Here is a 21,010-nt window from a genome sequence, read left to right as displayed (position 1 = left end):
CACCTTAGTTCTTAGATTGAATGGAACCATTTTCCTCATGATAATGCCACTGTTTCCTTTTGCTTTTCAACTACTTCTCAGTGTGGCTGTTGTCCTTGAGAGTTCGTGTCCATTTCTGATTAAATATCAACTGGAATTTGGCTTGGGATAATGAATGTTAGTAATATTTAAGGACTTGTATACCAGACACCATAGAAAGACAGGCAATATGAGGACAAATAAATGGTATAAGAAACCATTGGAGGCTGAGTGCTGTGTCTCATGCCTGTAATCCCAGCACTTTGGAAGGCTGACGCGGACAGATCACTTGAGGTTGGGAGTTCGAGACCAGCCTGGCCAACATTGCGAAACCCCATCTCTACTAAAAATGCAAAAATTAGCCAGGTGTGGTGGCGCATGCCTGTAGTCCCAGCTACTCTAATGGGGATGCTGAGGCAGGAGAATCGCTTGAACCTGGGAAGCAGAGGTTGCAGTGAGCCAAGATTGCGCCACTCCACTCCAGCCTGGGTGACAGAGTGAGACTCTGTCTCAAAAACAAAGAAAAAAAGAAACCATTGGAGTCTACCTCATATCCATTTCCTAGAAAATCTAACCTAACCGAGAGATCATGTTGGCTGATCATAGATAACAAAATAGCCATCTATTTCTATTATTTCATGCATTTGCTGTTTGACCTTTTTTGCTTTTTTTTTTTTTAAAGTGAGACAGGATAAAGTACAGATTTTGGAAATAAAGAAATAAAGCTCATTATTTGTGCATGATGTAAAACTACTGGAAAAAATAAGAGTTTATCAAATATCCTGGATGAACACATCAACCTACCAAAATTATACACATAATACATATATACAAAAAAGGGAAAAGTTTTTGCAAGGAGATATAATCAAAATATGGAGTGCCTAGAAATAAATACAACGAGATGTACAAAACTCCCATGGGGAAAGTAATAGAGCGTTATTTTGTAATATTAAGACCTCAATAAGTGAAATTATATACAATACACATGATTTGGAAAACTCAATGCTATACATTTGCCCAACTTTGATAGAGATTCAAAGCATTCTCTGTCAAATTCCTAACTCTCTTTGTTTTGGTGAGGAGGGTCAAACACTTGAAAAAAGATTTTAAAATTATATGGAAAGGCAATGTCAATAGCCAAGAATAACAATAGTAGACTTTGCTGCAGGAAAAGACAAATAGATTAGTGGAAGCTTATTAGTGAATGGGTAGTCCATGGACCCACACCATTAGTGGCTTTACCTGGGACCTTGTTAGAAATGCAAAATTTCAGGCCCCAACCCCAAATCAACTTAATCAGAACCCATGTTTAACAAGATTCCCAGGAATCTGTTTTTTTTGTTGTTGTTGTTTCTTTGTTTTAGTTATACTCTAAGTTCTAGGGTACATGTGCACAATGTGCAGGTTTGTTGCATAGGTATACCTGTGCCGTGTTGGTTTGCGGCACTTTTACATTAGGTATTTCTCCTAACTCTATCCCTCCCCCAGCCCTCCACCCGCCAACAGGCCCCAGTGTGTGATGTTCCCCTCCCTGTGTCCGTGTGTTCTCATTGTTCAACTCCCGTTTATGAGTGACAACATGCAGTGTTTGGTTTTCTGTCCTTGTGATAGTTTGCTGAGAATGATGGTTTCTAGCTTCATCCATGTCCCTGCAAAGGACATGAACTCATCCTTTTTATGGTTGTATATGTGCCACATTTTCTTTATTCAGTCTATTATTGATGGACATATGGGTTGGTTCCAAGTCTGTGATATTGTGAATAGTGCCACAGTAAACATATGTGTGCATGTGTCTCTATAGTACCATGATTTATAATCCTTTGGGTATATACGGAGTAATGGGATTACTGGGTAAAATGGTATTTCTAGTTCTAGATCCTTGAGGGATCACCACACTGACTTCCACAATGGTTGAACTAATTTACACTCCCATCAATAGTGTAAAAGCATTCCTATTTCTCCACATCCTCTCCAGCATCTGTTGTTTCCCGACTTTTTAATGATTGCCATTCTAATTGGTGTGAGATGGTATCTCATTGTGGTTTTGATTTGCATTTTTCTGATGACCATTGATGATGAGCATTTTTTCATATGTCTGTTGGCTGCATAAATGTCTTCTTTTGAAAAGTGTCTGTTCATATCCTTTGCCCACTTTTTGATGGGGACTTTTTTTCTTGTAAATTTGTTTAAGTTCTTTGTAGATTCTGGATATTAGCCCTTTGTCAGATGAGTAGATTGCAAAAATTTTCTCCCATTCTGTAGGTTGCCTGTTCACTCTGATGATAGTTTCTTTTGCTGTGCAGAAGCTCTTTAGTTTAATTAGATCCCATTTGTCTATTTTGGCTTTTGTTCCCATTGCTTTTGTTGTTTTAGTCATGAAGTCTTTGCCCATGCCTATGTCGGGAATGGTATTGCCGGGCTTTCTTCTACAGTTTTTATGGTTTTAGGTCTTACATTTAAGTCTTTAATCCATCTTGAATCAATTTTTGGTCAGATGTAAGGAAGGGATCCAGTGTCAGCTTTCTATATATGGCTAGCCAGTTTTCCCAGCACCATTTATTAAATAGGGAATCCTTTCCCCATTGCTTGTTTTTGTGAGATTTCTCAAAGATCAGATGGTTGTAGATGTGTGGTGTTATTTCTGAGGCCTCTGTTCTATTCCATTGATCTATATCTGTTTTGGTACCAGTAGCATGCTGTTTTGGTTACTGTAGCCTTCTAGTGTAGTTTGAAGTCAGGTAGCATGATGCCTCTAGCTTTGTTCTTTTTGCTAAGGATTGTCTTGGCTATGTGGGCCCATTTTTGGTTCCATATGAAATTTAAAGTAGTTTTTCCCAATTCTGTGAAGAAAGTCATTGGTAGCTTGATGGGGATAGCATTGAATCTATAAATTACCTTAGGGAGTATGGCCATTTTCACGATATTGATTCTTTCTATCCATGAGCATGGAATGTTCTTCCATTTGTTTGTGTTCTCTCTTTTATTTCGTTGAGCAGTGATTTGTAGTTCTCCTTGAAGAAGTCCTTCACATCCCTTGTAAGCTGGATTCCTAGGTATTTTATTCTCTTAATAGTAATTGTGAATGGGATTTCACTCATGATTTGGCTCTCTGTTTGTCTGTTCTTGGTGTATAGGACTGCTTGTGATTTTTGCACATTGATTTTGTATCCTGAGACTTTGCTGAGGTTGCTTATCAGCTTAAGGAGATTTTAGGCTGAGACAATGGGGTTTTCTAAGTATACAATCATGTCATCTGCAAACAGGGACAATTTGACTTCCTCTTTTCCAAATTGAATACCCTTTATTTCTTTATCTTGCCTGAATGCCCAGGCCAGAACTTCCAATACTATGTTGAATAGGAGTGATGAGAGAGGGCATCCTTGTCTTGTGCCAGTTTTCAAAGAGAATGTTTCCAGTTTTTGCCCATCCAGTATGATATTGGCTGTAGGTTTGTCATAAATAGCTCTTATTATTTTGAGATATGTTCCATCAAAACCTAGTTTATTGAGAATTTTTAGCATGAAAGGTTGTTGAATTTTGTTGAAGGCCTTTTCTGCATCTATTGAGATAATCATGTGGTTTTTGTCATTGGTTCTGTTTCTGTGATGGATTACATTTATTGATTTGCATATGTTGAACCAGCCTTGCATTCCAGGGATGAAGGTGACTTGATCATGTTGGATAAGCTTTCTGATGTGCTGCTGAATTCAGTTTGCCAGTTTTTTATTGAGGATTTTTGCATTGATGTTCATCAGGGATATTGGTCTAAAATTCTCTTTTTTTGTTGGGTCTCTGCCAGGCTTTGGTATCAGGATGATGCTGACCTCATAAAATGAATTAGGGAGGATTCCCTCTTTTTCTATTGATTGGAATAGTCTCAGAAGGAATGATACAAGCTAATCCTTGTACCTCTGGTAGAATTTGGCTGTGAATCTGTCTGGTCCTGGAGTTTTTTTGGTTGGTAGCCTATTAATTATTGCCTATTTCAGAACCTGTTTGTTATTCATCTATTCAGAGATTCAGCTTCTTCCTGATTTAGTCTTGAGAAGGTGTATGTGTCCAGGAATTTATCCATTTCTTCCAGATTTTCTAGTTTATTTGCATAGAGGTGTTTATAGTATTCTCTGATGGTAGTTTATATTTCTGTGGGATCAGTGATGATATCCCCTTTATCATTTTTTATTGCATCTATTTGATTCTTCTTTCCTTTCTTCTTTATTAGTCTGGCTAGTGGTCTACCTATTTTGTTGATCTTTTAGAAAACCAGCTCCTGGATTCATTGATTTTTTTGAAGGGTTTTTTATGTCTCTATCTCCTTCAGTTCTGCTCTGATCTTAGTTATTTCTTGTCTTCTGCTAGCTGTTGAATTTATTTGCTCTTGCTTCTCTAGTTCTTTTAATTGTGATGTTAGGGTGTCAATTTTAGATCTTTTCTGCTTTCTCTTGTGGGCATTTAGTGCTATAAATTTCCCACTACACACTGTTTTAAATGTGTCCCTGAGATTCGGGTATGTTATGTCTTTGTTCTCATTGGTTTCAAAGAGCATCTGTATTCTGCCTTCATGTCATTATTTACCCGGTAATCACTCAGGAGCAGGTTGTTCAGTTTCCATGTAGATTTGTGGTTTTGAGTGAGTTTCTTAATCCTGAATTCTAATTTGATTGCACTGTGGTGTGGGAGACAGTTTGTTGTGATTTCTGTTCTTTTACATTTGCTGAGGTGTGTTTTACTTCCAATTATGGGGTTAATTTTAGAAAAAGTGCGACGTGGTGCTGAGAAGAATGTATATTCTGTTGATTTGGGGTGTAGAGTTCTGTAGATATCTATTAAGCCCGGTTGGTCCAGAGCTGAGTTCAAGTCCTGGATATCCTTGTTAATTTTCCATCTCGTTGATCTGTCTAATATTGACAGCAGGGTGTTAAAGTCTCCCATTATTATTGAGTGGAAGTCTGAATCTTTTTGTAGGTCTCTAAGAACTAGTTTTATGAATCTGGGTGCCCCTGTATTGGGTGCATATATGTTTAGGATAGTTAGCTCTTCTTGTTGAATTGATCCCTTTACCATTATGTAATGGCCTTCTTTGTTTCTTTTGATCTTTGTTGGTTTAAAGTCTGTTTCATCAGAGACCAGGATTGCAACCCCTGCTTTTTCTTTGCTTTCCATTTGCTTGGTAGATCTTCCTCCATCCCTTTATTTTGAGCCTGTGTGTCTTTGCACGTGAGATGGGTCTCCTGAATACAGCACACCAATGGGTCTTGACTCTTTATCCAATTTGCCAGTCTGAGTCTTTTAATTGGGGCATTTAGCCCATTTACATTTAAGTTTAATATTGTTATGTGTGAATTTGATCCTGTCGTTATGATGCTAGCTGGTTATTTCACCCATAAATTGATGCAGTTTCTTCATAGCATTGATAGTCTTTATAATTTGGCATGTTTTTGCAGTGGCTGGTACTAGTTGTTCCTTTCCATGTTTAGTGCTTCCTTCAGGAGCTCTTGTAAGTCAGGCCTGGTGGTGACAAAATCTCTCAGCATTTGTTTGTCTGTAAAGGATTTTATTTCCCCTGCCCTTATGAAGCTTAGTTTGGCTCAATATGAAATTCTGGGTTGAAAATTATTTTCTTTAAGCATGTTGAATTTTGGCCCCCACTCTCTTCTGGCATGTAGGGTTTCTGCAGAGAGATCTGCTGTTAGTCTCATGGGCTTCCCTTTGTGGGTAACATGACCTTTCTCTCTGGCTGTCCTTAACATTTTTTCCTTCATTTCAACCTTAGTGAATCTGACGATTGTGTGTCTTGGGGTTGCTCTTCTCGAGGAGTATCTATGTGGTGTTCTCTGTATTTCTTGAATTTGAATGTTGGCCTGTCTTGCTAGCTTGGGGAATTTCTCCTGAATAATATCCTGAAGAGTGTTTTCTAACTTGGTTCCATTCTCCCCATCACTTTCAGGTACACCAATCAAATGTAGATTTGGTCTTTTCACATAATCCCATATTTCTTGGAGGCTTTGTTCAGTTATTTTCACTCTTTTTTCTCTAATCTTGTCTTCTCGCTTTATTTCATTAATTTGGTCTTCAATCACTGATATTCTTTCTTCCACTTAATCAAATCGGCTATTGAAGCTTGTGTATGCTTCACGAAGTTCTCGTACTGTGGTTTTCAAGACCATCAGGTCATTTAAGCTCTTCTCTACACTGGTTATTGTAGTTAGCCATTCGTCTAACCTTTTTTCAAGGTTTTTAGCTTCCTTGCGATGGGTTAGAACATGCTCCTTTAGCTCGGAGAAGTTTGTTATTACCAACCTTCTGAAGCCTACTTCTGTCAACTCCTCAAACTCATTCTCCATCCAGTTTTGTTCCTTTGCTGGTGAAGAGTTGTGTTCCTTTGGAGGAGAAGAGGCATTCTGGCTTTTGGAATTTTCAGTCTTTCTGCTCTAGTTTCTCCCCATCTTTGTGGTTTTATCAACCTTTGGTCTTTGATGTTGGTGACCTACGGATGAGGTTTTGGTGTGGATGTCCTTTTTGTTGATGTTGATGGTATTCCTTTCTGTTTGTTAGTTTTCCTTCTAACAGGCCCCTCAGCTGCTCAGCTGCAGGTCTGTTGGAGTTTGCTGGAGGTCCACTCCAGATCCTGTTCGCCTGTGTATCACCAGTGGAAGCTGCAGAACAGGAAACATTGCTGCCTGATCCTTCCTCTGGAAGCTTCGTCCCAGAGGGGCACCTGCCTATATGAGGTGTCTGTCAGCCCTGACTGGGAGATGTCTTCCAGTCAGGCTACACAGGGGTCAGGGACCCACTTGAGGAGGCAGTCTGTCCATTATTGGAGCTCGAACACCATGCTGGGAGAACCACTGTTCTCTTCAGAGCTGTCAGGCAGGGACGTTTAAGTTTGCAGAAGCTGTCTGCTGTCTTTTGTTCATATATGCCCTGCCCCCAGAGGTGGAATCTAGAGAGGCAGTAGGCCTTGCTGAGCTGTGGTGGGCTCTACCCAGTTCGAGCTTCTGGGCCACTTTGTTTGCACTGTGAGCATAGAACCGTCTACTCAAGCCTGAACAATGGCTGACACCCTTCCCACTGCCAAGCTCCAGCATCCCAGGTCGATCTCAGACTGCTGCACTAGCAGCAAGCAAGGCTTCATGGGTGTGGGGCCCACCAAGCCAGACACAAGAGGGAATCTTCTGGTCTGCCAGTTGCAAAGACCATGGGAAGAGTGCAGTATTTGGACAGGAATGTACTATTGCTTCAGGTACAGACACTCACGGCTTCCCTTGGCTAGGAAAGGGAAATCCCACGACCCTTTGCACTTCCCGGCCTGCTTTGGCTCACCCTCCATGGGCTGCACCCACTGTCCAACCAGTCCCAGTGAGATGAACCAGGTACTTCAGTTGGAAATGCAGAAATCACCCGTCTTATGCGTCGATCTCGCTGGGAGCTGTAGACCGGAGCTGTTCCTATTTGGCCATCTTGGAAGCGCCTCCCCCAGCAATCTGTTTTTAACAGGATCACCCAGAAGAATGGGGAAAAGACGGTTTTAATAAATAATTTGGAGCAAATAGTAACTAAACAAGAAAAAAAGTATTTGGATTGAATAACATTGCTTGTTTTATATGGTGCAACCACACGTTACTCTCTTTGTGATAAATTTCTTTAGGAGTGATCAATTTTTAGTGAAAATATAAGGAATGTTTTAAATATGCATTTTCCAAGGTGCCCCTATTACCTGTGTTGCTGCAGTCTATGGACTATCTTATTAATAAGCTTTTCTTATGTATGTAATCTTCAGGATGTTTTTGTGTATTTCCAACATCTCTTCTTCCTGACTCAAGTCCATATGTTATGATTTAATGGTAGTACTGTCACTAGCAATCTGGGCAACTAATGTGAATATGCCCTCCATCCCATTGTGGCAGTGATAAAGCTTTATGCAATCATTTTTCAGGTACATTTTACATACTTTGGGAAAAAAAAACGTTGCTGAAGTTACTAGAAAAGAGACAGTTCTTCTGCTGACAACTCTTCAGGAAATAATTTTCTACCTCCTTAGGATTCGAAGACCAGTTCATTCTTAGTGTCTTCTGAAATAAAATTAGGTAAGAAATGTTTTTCTTCATATTTTGAGTAATTTATACTATGCCTACTCAGTTTCCTTGAAAGCTTCTATAATTCTATTCCTTTGGCCTCTAAGAGAATACAGTTAGCTTTCTCCTTTAGGAAGTTAGTGTGCCAGCCAGCTGTCGGCTTTATGATTTACCTGATCTCCAATGTTAGGGAAAGCACAATTTGATTTTTAACCAAGTCTTCTACACAACACTGCAGCAGGGCCACCGGCATCTCTCTTTATGTTCCTTTCTTTGAAATTCCCCATTCTATGCAAACAGTATACTTTTATTTTTAAATTCTTGTGAGATAAAACCACCACTAACTGACTTTACTTGTCTTTAGTTCAAAATCAATGAATTGAATGAAATAATTCATATTTCTGTTACCCTTTCTTATTTCCAGAAAATAAAATACCACTGCTTGTTTAACTTGTGACTTGTCTAAACAAGTTGAAAGCATTGACTATAAGGCATAACACTCAGACTCTGAAAGGGAACTGTGACAAGTTCAGTCAAAAGGGAAAAGACGAATAATTTATAAAAGGCACTGCAGATAATGATGCCAGCCAGTTATTTTAAAATGCATCCACCTCACCTTTTAATGAATTAGATTTGTCAACAGCAAATGTTTTATGCACTACTTCTAATAAAAGTGGCATGCTGGGAATGCAGTGCTTTGAGGTTGGCTTCTTCAAAGCTTTAGAGTATCTTCAATTCAAAGATATTTTTTAAATAATAGATATTAAAAAGTATATTTAAATAATATTAAGGTTGTGACACAAACACCAAATGACAAAATTCAGGAGTTTCAAAGCAAAGGCTGACATGCTATCACGATTTCACATTAGAACTGTTTTTTAAATTAGGAGTATAACAGACTGATTTGGGGATTGTGTGTCAGTTTAACTTTAAATTCTTGTTGTTTTGGTTGGTGTCACAACCTTAATGTCAACTTTTCAAATAGGTTTCTACATTTCCTTTGGTTCAGGGTCATTAAAAAATGCATGTGATAAATCTAAGAGGCATAAATAGGTCATACAGAAGTGGAATTCCTTGCTCCTCTGGAGGTGAGAGACAGCTAATTTATAAATGGAAAACAGTTAGCTTAGGCATTTTCAGTAAATTTTTGTTTTTCAGTATTTGATTAAGAAAAATGTAAACCCAAATAACAAGACATGACGTTGGTATAATTCTGTTCAAATTTTATTCCTCTTGTACCTCTAATCCTAATGATTTGATCTTGTTGGTGTTATCACCTCTATAGATATAAAGAACCACATGTTTCACTATTGATTTTTTTTTCACTAAAAGCACAGGTTTAATTTCATTTTGTGAATGCTTATTTGATATAATTGAGTACAGGTAAGCCCTGCCTTGGAAACTACATCTGGTAGTCCTTTATATAAAGCATTGTTATGCAGAGTTTTTGGTAAAATCTTATTATTTTAAAGTAACACTTGTCATAGAAAGTAAAATGAAAGTAAAATCTTATGTGTTATGCATTTTTTTTTTTTTTTTTTTTTTTTTTTTTTTTTTTTTTTTTTTTTTGAGACGGAGTCTCGCTCTGTCGCCCAGGCTGGAGTGCAGTGGCGGGATCTCGGCTCACTGCAAGCTCCGCCTCCCGGGTTCACGCCATTCTCCCGCCTCAGCCTCCCGAGTAGCTGGGACTACAGGCGCCCGCCACTACGCCCGGCTAATTTTTTGTATTTTTAGTAGAGACGGGGTTTCACCATTTTAGCCGGGATGGTCTCGATCTCCTGACCTCGTGATCCGCCCGCCTCGGCCTCCCAAAGTGCTGGGATTACAGGCGTGAGCCACCGCGCCCGGCCGTGTTATGCATTTTTTAAAAAACCTAGTACCACAGCAGACAAAGGAGCAGCCAGGAACACCAATCTGTAAGGAAAGAGAAACGGGAGAGAAGAAAGAATAATCCACTCACCCAGATCCCTCCCTTTTCCTTGATTCTTAATCTGTCATGATTTTACAGGGCAGGTCTGTATTGCCTATGTTAAATCTAGTTTTAATTTAGAAAAGTAAATATAATAGAATTTATACCACAGTTGTTTTTTTGATCACCTATGTTGGAAAAATAAAAGATAAAAGGATAGGCAAATTATTTATTGACTTTTTCTTGCTGACTCTTAAAGATAGCCACCAACCAAAAACACTTTCTAGCTCTCATCTTCTTCTTGATTGAAACACCTGGCTCTGGTTTTAATCAATGACTGGGTAAACATTAGTCTTTCTTTTCTAATGTACTCCATTCCTTCTATGTCTTTATTTTTCAACAATGTTGAAATAAATTTCCTACAGTTTTCATTGGGAAGTTATTATGAAATTTTATCTTCATTTGTGGTCCTAACTCTACTTTTCCTACACATTGGCTTCTCTGATATAGCATTATTATTAAATCACCACATTTTTGATAAATAATATTCTTTTAAGTCTCAGTTCTCAAAGGCGAGAAGTAATTGTGTTGCAATGTATTTAAGTTTGAATATGTGTACAGTTGTCTGTGAAGGCATTGATTAAATCCTCTGAATTTATTTAAACTATAGCAGTGTTCTTCCTTGAACAAATATTTAAAATCATTGTTATTGTTGCTATTAATACTAGTACTGACATATATTTCATTGAAATAAAATTTTTTAAACTAAAATGCCTGTTTTGAAATTCAGAGGAAGCTATTCAAATAAATGAATTGGAACTCAGTGTATACCTGCAATATAGAAAAGTTTTCTGGCATAGAAACAAAATATGCTCTTTAAATATCATAGACCAAGCCAGCTTTATGCAAATTCATTTAGAGCACTTTCAGATTTATGTATTTAATAAAGCTGGGTAGTGGTTCTAACTTACGTATTTAATGTCCTTCATTGTACGGTGATGTTCTTGTGACTGCCTGGAAAAGAATGATGACATTTTATTTAGTGTTTCTGCCAGATCAATCAATTCTATAAATGGCTTTCTAATGGGATACAATATATGCTTTTAATATTTTTCAATAACACTAAGAGATAACATTTATTGAGTTCTTTCTATGTGCTAGAGACTGCTCTATGTACTATCTATGGATTATCCCATGTAATCTTGGTAACAACCCTTTAATGTTCTCACTCGTTTACGGATGTAGTAGAGGTATATAAGGAGAAGGTTATATAACTAGTAAGTAATGGAGCTGGGACTGAAACATAAGCAGTGTGTTTCTGGGTGCAGTGGCTCACGCCTGTAATCCCAGCACTTTGGGAGGCCGAGGTGGGCAGATCACGAGGTCAGGAGTTCAAGACAAGCCTGGCCAACATAGTGAAACCCCGTCTCTACTAAAAATACAAAAATTAGCCGGGTGTGGTGGCACGCTCCTGTAGTCCCAGCTACGGGGGCGGGGCTGAGGCAGGAGAATCGCTTGAACCCAGGAGGCAGAGGTTGCAGTGAGCCAAGACCATGCCACTGTACTCCAGCCTGGGTGACAGAGTCTGACTCTGTCTCAAAAAAGAAAGAAACATAAGCAGTGTGACTCCAGAGTTTGAACTCTGAACCTTTCCTACTCAAAATATAATCTTCAGGCCAGCAGTGTTACCATCACCCAGGAACTTGCTACAAATGCAGAATCTCAGAGCTGCTGAAAATCTGCATTTTTAACAATGTACTTAGGTGACTGGCACATGAAAAATTGAGAAGCACAGCCTGTAAACCACTATACTATTCTGCCCTTAAATTTAGAATTAAGTATCTTTTAAAATACATTTTTATTTTTCTGTATGATGCTGAATTCCTATTTGATGCTAATTTTGGAATTCCTGTCATATTTCAAGAGCATTATAATGAGATCTAGTAACTAAACATAAGCAGGGATGCAAGGTAGTCACAATTTATCTTAAAATCAATTGTATAAAGAACAGAAAAAAAACATAAACAGAAAGCATTTATATAGAGGCAGGTAATTGTTCCAACATCTAAGACTTTCTTAAAATCCTAGTGTATCCCACTGTCTTTGAATGTAGATTCTGGAGACAGGCTGCCTGGTTTTGAATCTCACCTCCTATTTCTAGCTGTGGGATCTCAGGAAAATTATATAATTCTATACCTCAGCATCCTCAAATGAGGTCTAAAGCCACAGTCTACGGAATTGTTGTAAGGATTAAATTAGTTAATGCATATAAAGGATTTAGAAGGAAACCTCTAATGAGATAAGTGAATAAATATTAACTACTGTTGTTCTTACCTGTTATTTCCATCTTTGAATTGAATAGATTCACATCTCATACTTCTTGGCTATCTATTGGCAAGAAGTTGACAAATACTTTTTGTTAGCAGAGCTCACCACATAAAGGGATATCTTTGCTGTTAAGAGTCCAAACCACAAACCTCAGTTTTTGTATTTTCTGAAAACTGTCTTCCTGTGGCACTTTTTCTGTTTGTGAGTTCTGCTAAATGCCACTTGATTATGATAATTAACCAGTTAAGTTTAGTGCAATTAGTTCAAAGTGTTCAAAGTCAAAATGGAATGTGTTAACAGTATGTTGTAATTTTAAATATACATGCTTCTAAACTAAGTAAAAATAATGAGTATGTGAGTCCATTTGGTCAACCTCTTACATAAGTAATACAGAAAAATAAAGAATATTTGTTTAAAGGTTGAATGGTCTCCAATCTGGTTTGTTTCTTTCTGGATGAACATAATTCTGAAATGATCATGATAGTCTTTAGGGGAATAATGGTTTGGTGTACAAGTACTCACCTAACAACTTTTCAGAAATATACCTATGTGTGAAGTGAGTTGGCATGTTTTTGGAAAGTACCACTTTGAAAGCTGATTTGTAAAAGGAATTGAGATAACAATACTTAGTTAAAAGGATGCCCTGGGAAACTTTTCAATTGCCAAAGAGAGTTTAATTCACTAGGTCTGGGATGGGGCCCAGGTATCTGAATTTTTAGCAAGTGTCCCTGGTATTTTGGCTTAAATTAGTTTTGGACTACACTTCGAAATACCCTGCAGTAAAGGTAAAGACAGGTATTGAAATAAGCTTTTGTTGACTTCACATTCATTTTTGCAACATTGTCCTCTTTGATACTGTCTTTGTCCACCCTATGACCTGATTTTATCTATCCTTTGTCTCTTTTCCCACTCTGTTAGTAGCTCGCAACCATTCATTTTCTGGTTTTTTTCTTTTTTACATTTTCTTAAAAATATCTCTTCTGGATTTTTCAATCATAGCTTTACAGATGGTTCTATAAAATGATCATAAATGTCTCTTTTTAATCTAAAAATCTCTAAGCCAAACTATAGATGCTGAAATCAACTTAGAAGCTATAGGCAGTATTAAAAAGGAAAAAAATGAAAAAATGAAAAGCAATAGAATAGAAAATGTAAGAGCAAGTATTAAGAGTAAGTAATGCTTTGTGAAGCTTTCTTTTGAGATATGTGTGTACACACATACGTTAAATTGCTGTGCATCTTTTAAACCAGTGCGTCATTATCCAACAAATTGAACAAAATTTTTTTTTAAGAAGAGTTAAATTTTTTCTTTTAATTATAACTAAAATCTTGGTCATCTCATTTATTAGCTCTGTAACTTACATATTTAAGGAGATGTTAGTAGACAACTATTATAATTTATAAATGTAAGGTGCCATTATTGAGTAAATAGATTCTTCCGTGAGTAGATGTCTCTTCTCTCACCAAGTAATGAAGCAGCAATGTAAGTTAGTTTAGTTTTATTAGTACATGTGTATTAGTCCACTTGCTGTTGCTCATAACAGAATACCTGAAACTGGACAATTTATAAAGAAAAGGAATGTATTTCTTGCAGTTCTAGAAACTGAGAAGTCCAGGGTCAAGGGTCCACATCTGGTTAGAGGCTTCTTGTTTGTGGGGACTCTGTACATAGAGTCCAGAGGTGATACAGGGTATCACATGGTGACGTGGCTGAGCATGCTTGTTCAAATCTCTCATTCTCTTCTTATAAAACCACCGTCCCACTCCCATTAATCTATTAACTCATTAATCTAGTAATCCATAATTCATGCATGGATTACTCCATTCATGAGGGCTTTGCTCTCATGACCCAATAACCTCTTAAAGGCCTCACCTCTCAATACTGCCACATTGAGGATTAAATTTCAACATCAGTGTTGGAGGGGACAAATATTCAAACCATAGCAACATGATACACTGCTATAAATGTTGATTCTCTTATTCACCCTTGTGTTTATTTTGTATATATGTTAAGGTTTTTTTAAAGATTGAAAAATAATACTTTGTTATGATTGGCTACATCTTAGTCTCATGAACTATAGTGTGACATCTGAGCACTATCTTTTCTCATGCATTTCTCTCACATATCACCTTCCTCTGTATTCTGAACATTTCCACTTGTACGGCCTACTCAAAATCATTATGTCTAACACTAATTTGCTATGCCTTCTTACCACTATTTTCCTCCTAAATTTTTAAAATCTATTCATGAGCTACCATTCTGTCATTCAGATTAAACATAAAGAATTTTCTTTGTAATAATTTATCCCTTACTGCATAAACTTCCTTATAGCCTCATCTTTCTACTCTGGTCTATCCTGGGTCCCTGGCCTGCAGAAATCCTTATGGGCAAACATAGTAGTCACCCACTCCTCAGCCAAAGGCCGGCATGTGTATGCAATGTATGGTATCTATGGCTGCCTTTACCAAGACCAGAAAAGCCTTTGATATCAAATATGCATTGCATGGACAATGTCCACCTCTTTATTTTAGTCACTACTGTCATAATTGGTCTTCTTCCACGCTGATTTTTATTGCTCAGGGAGAACCATACTTTGGCTTTACTATTGCTAGTTTCTGATAATGTAATCCACCATCCTTTTGCCTCTTAACATGATTTTATAATTTTCACATGTGCCCTGTTTAGTTTCTCTGGTGAATTGGGCCTGAAGCCCAAGCTTGTTTGTGCCTGAACATGTAACAGCGGCCTGGTTTTCTCTGAGTTGTAACTGTCTGCCTCACTCAGTGGCCCCAAGCTATCTATCATATCCTGGAAAGTCATTTCAGATCTATCTTTTTTTTTTTTTCCGTCATGGCCACATCCTCTTCCTATTTATCATCACCTTCATATCTACTAATTATCTTCCTAATTGATCTTCCTCTCTCTGTTGTCTCGCCCCACACCAAACCATCTTAACACCTTGTTTTATAAATATTTATAAAACACTAGTCGTGTGCTGCCTTAGTAAAAAAACATTTTTGACTCCCTCTTATGTACAGGATAAAGTCCAAATATTTTCCTCCTAGAGAGAAAAAATAAAAAGGCCTTAAAATATCTGTCCATAGCATACCTCTTCAATTTTATCTTTCACTATTTTCATCCATGATTTTTCTGCTCTGGTTCTCCAAAACAGTTCCATTGATGCCCCAGGGATGTTCTCATCACTTTAATTACAAGGGCCCCCAGTTGATGGTAGTCCATGAAACTGGAGCAGGTAGCTGTGAATGGGGTTTAAGAGTGGGATCCCAGTACATAGAAATGTCAAGATGAGAACCAGAGCCGGGTATAGTAGCTCATACTTTTAATTCTAGCTATTTGTGAGGCTGAGGCAGGAGGATTGCTTGAGTTTAAAAAGTTCAAGGCTGCAGTGAGCTTATACTGGCACCACTGTACTCCAGCCTGGGTGACAAAGTAAGACTTTGACTCTAAAAAGACAAACTAACAAAAATTAATTTAAAAAAAATGAAGACATAATTATATATTGGCAATAATCAAGTTAGTAAGAGCTGAGGTTGTGAAACAGCAGGGAGATAAGCAGACTGACACATTATCTACTTCTAAAGTTAATGTCTGGGACTTCTTATGTCCTTTCTTTTTTTTTCTTTTTTTTTTTTTTTTTTTTTTGAGATGGAGTCTTACACTGTCACCCTGGCTGGAGTACAACGGCATGATCTTGGCTCACCGCAACCTCCCCATCCCGGGTTCACGCGATGCTCCTGCCTCAGCCTCCTGAGTAGCTGGGATTACAGGCATACACCAACACACCCGACTAATTTTTTATATTTTTAGTGGAGATGGGGTTTCACTATGTTGGCCAGACTGGTCTCGAACTCCTGATCTTGTGATCCTCCCACCTCAGCCTCCCAAAGTGCTGGGATTACAGGCATGAGCCACCACGCCCGGCCATCCTTTCTTTACTAGTTGTGGATCGTTCCTCAAGTTGGAGAGGGCTTGAACCTATGTATAGTGAGAGATTAAAATGTCTCCAACTGTGGGGCCTGTGAAGCTATGGATATTGGAAGATCACTGGCTCCCAACCTTTAGGAAATCCTTTGCCTTCCTTTTTCTTGGGGCTTGCCTTTCCTATCTCCATCTGCCCATAGGGAGCTCCCTGCTGCAGGACTGCTAGATTATTTGATACTTGTATCACTCAGTTGATACACCATTAGCTAATGCCTTGTAATATTTATGAGGACTAAGGTCTGATTTTTTTTTATCTTGCCCAAATTTCTAAGAGGTCTGGGGAGTCATGCCCTACAAACCAGAAATTCTTATCAGATGGGTTTTATTTAACTCTATATATCATGACTTTCCAATCTGACTCTGGATAACATTACAAGAAAAGAAAGAAAAGCAAAATATTTTACCCCAAAACATGTTTCCCTGCCATATTTTAAATGGCCCTGCAAGGCCTTTCTTTGTGGGGGAATATCTGCATCTGTAAAGAATCTCTATTAACATAGCTAGATCTTTTTCTTCCAGGCCCTCCCAATCCTGAAGAGATTAACTAAAAGTCTAGCACCTTTTAAAGATCTGAATAGGAAACATTTGTCATCTGTTGACTCTAACAGCAGCCACTGTAAAATTTCCAAAAGAGGCTGGGCCTGGTGGCTCACACCTGTAACCTCAGCACTTTGTGAGGCCTCCGCAGGTGGATCACTTGAGGTCAGGAATTTGAGACCAGCCAGGCCAACATGGTGAAACTCTGTCTCTACTCAAAATACAAAAAATTAGCTGGGCATGGTGGCACATGCCTGTAGTCCCAGCTACTAGGGAGGCTGAAACAGGAGAATTCCTTGAACCTGGGAGGTGAAGGTTGCAGTGAGCCGAGATTGTGCCACTGTACTCAAGCCTGGATGACAGAGTGAGACTCCCTCTCAAAAAAAAAAAAAAAAAACACTTAAAAAGAACCTTGGTCTCCATAATCTTTTATCTTAACCTGAACATTTCCTTTCTATCAATCCCAGGTCTTTAGACAAACTCAACCAATTGTCACCAGAAAATGTGTAAATTTACCTATAACCTGGAACAACCCCCCCAACCCCCCCAAGCTTTGAGTTGTCCCGCTTTTCTGAACCAAACTAATGTATTTCATAGATGCATTTGATTGATGTCTCATTTCTCCCTAAAATATATGAAACCAAGCGGTACCCTGACCACCTTGGGCACATGTTCTCAGGACCTCCTGAGAGCTGTGCCATGGGCCATGGTCACTCATATTTGGCTCAGAATAAATCTCTTCAAATGTTTTACAGAGTTTGATTCTTTTCGCCAACACTTATTATATTGTTCTTATTCATTTTTTACTTCTTAGGTGTCAAAAGTGAGACACTCATCATATCAAACAAAAATCAATTATAAAGAATTAAAATTCCCTTTCTGCTGTCCCTTTTTAATTCTATCACCCACAGATAAGCACTGCTAATAGTTTAGTGTGTATTCTTTATTTTATGGGATAGTTTGTTTTTTCAAAAATATCCTGTATTATGCTGTATATATAGTTCTACAATTTTTTAAATGAAATAATATAATATTCTGGAAATCTTTCCATGTCATGCCATAGAAAGGTAGATTATAATTTTTAATGAATTGCAGATTTTTCGTTTTTGAGTGAAGTATTATTTAACAGTTATATATAAATAAACCAGAATAGGTTTAGGTTGACCTATACTGTGTACTTCTAAATTGTGACATGGTTCATATGTGAGTCTGCAGTGTAATGAATGAAGCTCATACTTTAACATGTGGCTAAATTGCCAATAGCCCATTTTTCTTTTTTAGATCCTTTCCAGAAGGATTGTAAGGTAAAACATATTTTTCAAGAACAGCATGAAGGGTGCTTACTGATAAAGTGAATACACTCAGACATGAGCAGTTAGGTACAGCTAACTCCTTCAGGTTTGGGTGATGGTAGTAGCAGAAGTACTTAATGCTGCCAGCCCTGCTGGCCAGTTGATGTGCCCGTGCCCTGGTCAGTTGATTGTACATTTCCCAGTCTTTATTTACTCTTGCCATAGAGTGAATATAGTCCAAACTTGGTTTTTTTGTGGGGCTTTTTTTTTTTTTTAAGAGATAGAGTCTCACTATGTTGCCCAGGCTAGAATGCAGTGGCTTTTCACAGGCACACTACTAGCACACCACAGGCTTGAACTCTTGGGCTCAAGCAATGCTCCCACCTCAGTCTCATAGTAGCTGGAACTACAGGCACATGCCATTGTGCCCGGCCACTAAAAAGGTTTTGTTTATCATGTATCATATGGTATAAAACTACAACTACTTATTTATTTTATTACTGGATAATGTATTTTTATTTTATAATAATCCTTTTTAGCAACAGTGATAACAAAACAAAATATCAGTGTACATTTATCAGACAATACTGAATTTCCTTGATTTGCTGGAAATAATTCATGTATAACTCTCATAAAATGTTTGTTGACACTTACCATCCACCATGATGACTCTGTAATGGTATAACTGACCACATGAAAACAAGACTTAAATCTGTGAAAGAGGCAGCAACATCTAATACACAGTTTTATTTTAAGACCACATCTAAAAATATTACCTTTTAATACTTAGCCACAGAAGGTACATTTGTATACCACTCTGTCAGGCATGACTTCATTTAGATCAAGTGACTGTTCTGAATTAATTTCTTTTATTTTTAGTTTCAAGTTTTCTTGTGCATGTGTGAAAAGTGAAACAATAGCTGTTAATGTATTCACTCCATTAGAAGAACTTCAATCATTAAATTATGTCAGTTGTACGTCAGTATTACTGGATACTTCTAAATGTAGAAAATCAATTAATTCCAATAATAATGGTTCAAATTTCTTATCTAATTCCTTAAATCAAAGTAAACCATTTGAAAGTTCATTCTGTTGAAGTTGAAACACTTGACAGTATTGTGAATATTATTGTAAATTAAGTTACAAACTGCAACATCAATGATAAAATTATTTTCTCTTGGTACTATTAAAAATATATTGTTGTGGAACACAACATCATATAAATGCCTTCTTTTAGCAAATTTAGAACCTGTGGGGAAAACTATACTTGAAATATGTTGTAATGCACACAGTAATTCATAATTACATCCCCAAAATCTGCAATATTCTACCAATCCAAGTGGAAGATGTAGTTGTCAAGTACAAATATGATTATACATATACAAGGTAAACAGCCTATAAATGTTCATGATTAGACTGAAGTTGAATAAAACAAAAATAACTAAGTATGACATGGTAATATTCATGGTGGCTGGCAGTAATGCACGATATACATGGTGGCCATTGATGGGGTGGGTCAATACTTGGGTGGTACTCAAATTTGCTTCCCCATGAAAGTACAGAGAGTAGTTTAAATTAGAATCTTAGCTTTGGGTGCTGATGGTGAAGTCAAGTACTTTTTCTCTGATTTGTCCTTGGAAGGAAGTCTTCATTTCCAGTTTACAAGACCGGTGTATTGGTTTATACTACAGGGGCAGGTCCATTTGAGTATTTTATTTTCGATTGAGGAGGTGGCTGGTATGAGGATTAAAATTGTCGTGAAGTATAGTACGGATGCTACTTGTCCGATGGTAGTGAAGGGGTAGTTCACTGGTTGTCCTCCAATTCAGGTTAGGGTAAGAAGGTCTGTGGCTAGGAATCAATATAGGAATTGGCTTAATGGGTGAAATATTATGCTTTGTTGTTTGGATATGTGGAGTATAGGAATTGCTGCTAGGATGAGGATGGATAGTAGAAGGGCTAGAATGCCTCCTAGTTTATTGGGAATGGATCGGAGAATTGCGTAGGCGAATAGGAAATATCATTCGGGTTTGATGTGGGGTGGGGTGTTTAGGGGGTTAGTCAGGGTGTAGTTGTCTGGGTCGCCCAGGAGGTCTGGTGAGAATAGTACTAGTGTTAATAGGGTGAGGAGGAAAAGGAATAGGCCTAGGATGTCTTTGGTTGTGTAGTAAGGATGGAAGGTAATTTTGTCGGAATGGGAGGGGATGCCTAAGGGATTGTTTGATCCTATTTCGTGTAGGAATAGAAGGTGTAGGGTTGTTAAGGCTGTAATAATAAAGGGCAGAATGAAGTGGAAGGTAAAGAATCGTGTGAGGGTGGGTCTTTCTACTGAGTAGCCACCTCAGACTCATTGGACTAGGTCTGTTCCGATGTATGGAATGGCGGACAATAGATTCGTAATTACCGTGGCTCCTCAGAAGAATATTTGGCCTCATGGGAGGACATAGCCTATGAAGGCTGTTGCTATGGTTGTGAATAAGAGGATAATACCAATGTTTCAGGTTTCTAGGTAGAGGAATGAGCCATAGTATAAGCCTCGGCCGATGTGTAGGAAGAGGCAGATGAAGAATATTGAGGCACCGTTAGCGTGGAGGTAGCGGATGATTCAGCCATGGTTTACGTCTCAGGTGATGTGGGCGATTGATGAGAAGGCGGTTGAAGCATCTGGTGATTAGTGTATGGCTAGGAATAGTCCTGTGATCATTTGAATGGTTAGGCAGGCGCCAAGAAGTGAGCCGAGGTTTCATCATGTGGAGATGTTAGATGGAGTGGGGAGATCAATAAATGAGTGGTTAATTAATTTTATTAACGAGTTGGTTTTGCGTGTTGGGGTCATTAGTGTTCTTGT

At 38.0% G+C, this 21,010-nt stretch overlaps 1 protein-coding gene and 1 pseudogene across 33 annotated transcripts in view, besides 1 other annotated feature; one reads left to right on the top strand and one right to left on the bottom strand.

Annotated features, from left to right (window-relative positions):
- Nucleotides 1-21,010, top strand: part of KIAA0825 — a 467,754-nt gene that overhangs the window by 28,067 nt on the left and 418,677 nt on the right. For 30 of the 33 annotated variants that reach the window (XR_948246.3, NR_169751.1, NR_169752.1 and 27 more), the window contains one exon: nucleotides 7,955-8,105. The exons of the other annotated variants lie outside the window; for them this stretch is intronic. The gene's annotated coding sequence lies outside the window, so the exon portion shown is untranslated. The remainder of the gene's footprint in view (nucleotides 1-7,954; nucleotides 8,106-21,010) is intronic. 33 annotated transcript variants of the gene reach the window in all.
- Nucleotides 16,568-17,353: an enhancer, noted in NCBI's record as "OCT4-NANOG-H3K27ac hESC enhancer chr5:93908890-93909675 (GRCh37/hg19 assembly coordinates)". NCBI's record gives its function as "activates a minimal SCP1, AML or CMV promoter by ChIP-STARR-seq in naive H9 embryonic stem cells {active_cell/tissue: H9 hESC(naive)}" and the evidence as "EXISTENCE:reporter gene assay evidence [ECO:0000049][PMID:30033119]".
- MTCYBP35 (MT-CYB pseudogene 35) lies at nucleotides 19,862-20,998 on the bottom strand (annotated as a pseudogene).

This window comes from Homo sapiens, chromosome 5 (genome assembly GCF_000001405.40).
Source record: "Homo sapiens chromosome 5, GRCh38.p14 Primary Assembly".
In the NCBI taxonomy this organism is placed as follows: domain Eukaryota; kingdom Metazoa; phylum Chordata; class Mammalia; order Primates; family Hominidae; genus Homo; species Homo sapiens.
The sequence above is the reverse complement of the archived record's forward strand: the minus strand, read 5'-3'. Positions and strand labels throughout refer to the sequence as shown.